Genomic DNA, 3721 nt, shown 5'->3' with positions numbered 1-3721 from the left:
CCTCCCACCTCAGCCTCCTGAGTAGCTGGGACTACAGGTGCGTGCCACCACACCTGGCTAATTTTTGTATCTTTTGTAGAGATGGGGTTTTGCCATGTTGTCTAGGCTGATCTCGAACTCCTGTGCTCAAGCCATCTAACTGCCTGGGCCTCCCAAAGTGTTGGAATTACAGGAGTGAGCCACTGTGCCTGGCTGAGAGTGTTATATATTAAAGGCCTCCAGTGAATTTCTCTTTTTAGTATCCAAACCCTTGCAGTCTTCCTGTCTTGATGCTGGAGTTGGCTATATGACATTTTTTTTTTTTTTTTGAGATGGAGTTTCATTCTGTCGCACAGGCTGGAGTGCTATGGTGTGATCTCGGCTCACTGCAAACTCCACCTCCTGGGTTCAAGTGATTCTCCTGCCTCAGCCTCCCAAGTAGCTGGGATTACAGGCGCTCGCCACCAGGTCTGGCTAATTTTTGTATTTTTAGCAGAGACGGGGTTTCACCATGTTGGCCAGGCTGGTCTCGAACTACTGACCTCAAGTCATCTGCTTGCCTCGGCCTCCCAAAGTGTTGGGATTACAGGCGTGAGCCACCGTGCCCAGCCATGTGACTTTCTCTGGCTTGCAGGGCATAAGCAAATAAGAGGCTAGCAGAGACTTGATAAGCACTTTGCACTGGGGATTCCCTTGTGGACATTTATGTTGCCATGTGAAAAAGGCCAGTTTAGGCGCCTTAAGGATATAAAATCAAATAGACAGAGGTCTAGCCATCCCAGTGGAGCCCAGTCCCTGCCAACAAATGTAGCCACATCAGGACATGCAGGTAAGGTCAACAGAATAACTGCCCAGCCATCCTACAGATTCAGGAGAAATAATAAATTGTTATGTCTTTAAGCCACTAAGTTTCAGCCTAGCTTGTAACATAGCAATATATAACATATATGAAGTTTAGCTCCCCTATTGTCATTTTTATTTTTTTCAATTATGATCAATGACATCTATGCATTTTTTCCTAAGCAGAACTTTAGCGGCATCTTATACGTTTTGATGCATACTATTTTCTAATTTCCATTATACTTTTTTTTTGACTTAAGATTTACTCAGACAGGGCGTGGTGGCTCCCACCTGTAATCTCAGCACTTTGAGAGGCCGAGGCGGGTGGATCACCTGAGGTCAGGAGTTCAAGACCAGACTGGCCTACATGGTGAAATCCCATCTCTACTAAAAATACAAAATTTAGCCTGGTGTGGTGGCGTGCACCTGTAGTCCCAGCTACTCGGGAGGCTGAGGCACAAGAATTGCTTGAACCTGGGTGGCAGAGGTTGCAGTGAGCCGAGATCGCACCACTGCGTTCCAGTATGGGCAACAGAGTGAGAACTCTGTCTCAATTAAAAAGTAAATAAAAAAATAAGAGTTATTTAGAAGCGTATTTTAACATTTCTTTATATAATTTTTTTGTTACTTTTTTGTTATTGGTTTCCAGTTTATTTGAATCTTGTTAGGATTGGCTTGTTAAAACTTTTTGAGATTTACTTTGAGACCAAATACATGTTCAAATACTCTAAAGTATTCTGTTTATGTTTTAATAGCACATGTATTTGCTGATTTTTGTCTGTGGTATATATATATACACACACACACTTTATATATTTTATATATGTTAATAAATTGGGGAGGGGGGATAGCATTAGGAGATATACCTAATGTAAATGACGAGTTAATGGGTGCAGCACACCAACATGGCACATGTATACATATGTAACAAACCTGCACGTTGTGCATATGTATCCTAGAACTTAAAGTATAATAAAAAAAAATAAAAAAAAGAAAAAAAGAAAATCAGAGAAAAAAATAAATTAGCTTGATATGGTATATATATGTGTTTGTGTATATAGACTATCTATATCCATATATCTATTATATTTATGTATTACAATCATTATTCTATAACTATTATAGTATATTATATAATCTGATATATAATATATTTTATATATATATATATATATATATGTGTGTGTGTGTGTGTGTGTGTGTGTTTTCTTTTTCCGTCGCCCAGGGTGGAGTGCAGTGGCGCAATCTCGGCTCACTGCGAACTCTGCCTCCCCGGTTGAAGCAATTCTCCTGCCTCAGCCTCCCAAGTAGAGTAGCTGGGATTACAGGCGCCTGCCACCATGCCTGGCCAATTTTTGTATTTTTAGTAGAGACGGGGTTTCACCACATTGGCCAGGCTGGTCTCGAACTCCTGACCTCAAGTGATCTGCCCACCTTGGCCTCCCAAAGTGCTGGGATTACAGGCATCAGCCACCGTGCCCGACCTCTGTTTACTTTTTTTTTTTTTTTGTCCATTTGCTTTATTTACTATTGAGGTACTTTTGTTAAAATTTCCCAGTTTCACAATGGGTTTAAAAACTTTCCTTTTAATTTTACTCATGTTTACTTCATATTCTGATACTGTTATTAGTTGAGTACATGTTCAGAATTGTTATATGTTTTTGGTGGTGTATCATTCATCTACTTTTTCATAATAATTCTTTTGGACTTAAAGTCTTATTTAAAATATTAACATAGCTCTATCAGTAGTTTCGATGATATTTACTTGTAATATATTTTTACATCTTTAGTTGTAACTTTTCTGTATTCCACTGTGTCTCTAGTAAGCAGCTTATGCCTGCATTTTAATTTTTTAATTAAAAAACTTTTTTTTGAAATGGAGTCTCACTTTGTCACCTTGGCTGGAGTGCAGTGGCGTGATTTCAGCTCACTGCAACCTACGTCTCCTGGACTCAAGCGATTTTTGTGCCTTAGCCTTCCAAGTAGTTGGGATTACAGGTTTGCGCCACCACACCTGGCTAATTTTTGTATTTTTAATAGAGACGATGTTTCACCATGTTGGCCAGGATTGTCTCGAACTCCTGACCTCAGGTGATCTGCCTGCCTCGGCCTCCCAAAGTGCTGGGATTACAGGCATGAACCACCATACCCAGCCATACATGAATTCTGAAAGGCTGATTCTCTATTAATAATGAATTTTATCCATTTGCATTTATTGCAATTATTTACATGTTTAGATTTCTTCCTGTCCTCTTTTGTGCTTTCTATTTACTATGCTTTTTCTTTGCTCCTTTTTTGTCTTGCTTTAAGTGTGTTTTTTTAAATTCACATTTTTCTTTTTAACTAACGACATCATGCATTCAATTTCTATTTCTTACATTTAACTTGCGTCTTGATTTAAGACAGGCTGAAATTGATCAGCATCACCAGCCTCCTCTAGAACTAGAAAATAATCTTCTTGAAACAGTCCCAATAATAGGTTATTCATAGCTAATATTCTAGTTTCACAATGTTTTGTTTCCTCCACAAATTTGTTACTTTTTATTGTTTTATATGAGCAATGCTTACTTAGATTTACCCACATTTGACACATTTGCATCTTATTCCTTTCCTCTGGGCTCCCTCCCTCCCTCCCTCTCCCTCTGTTCCCTCCCATTTTAGAGACAGGATCTCTCTCTGTGGCCCAAATTGGAGTGCAGTGGCGTGATCATGGCTCACTATAGCCCGGAATTCCTGGGCTGAAGCGGTCCTCTCATCTCAGCTTCCTGAGTAGCTGGGACTACAGGTGCATGCTGCCATGCCAGGGTAATTTTTAAATATTTCTGTAGAGACAGGGTCTTGCTGTGTTGCCCAGGCTAGTCTGGAACTCCTGGCCTCAAGCAATCCTCTTGCCCTAGCTTCC

This window comes from Homo sapiens, chromosome 8 (genome assembly GCF_000001405.40).
Source record: "Homo sapiens chromosome 8, GRCh38.p14 Primary Assembly".
Classification (NCBI taxonomy): domain Eukaryota; kingdom Metazoa; phylum Chordata; class Mammalia; order Primates; family Hominidae; genus Homo; species Homo sapiens.
This window is presented reverse-complemented; position numbering follows the sequence as displayed.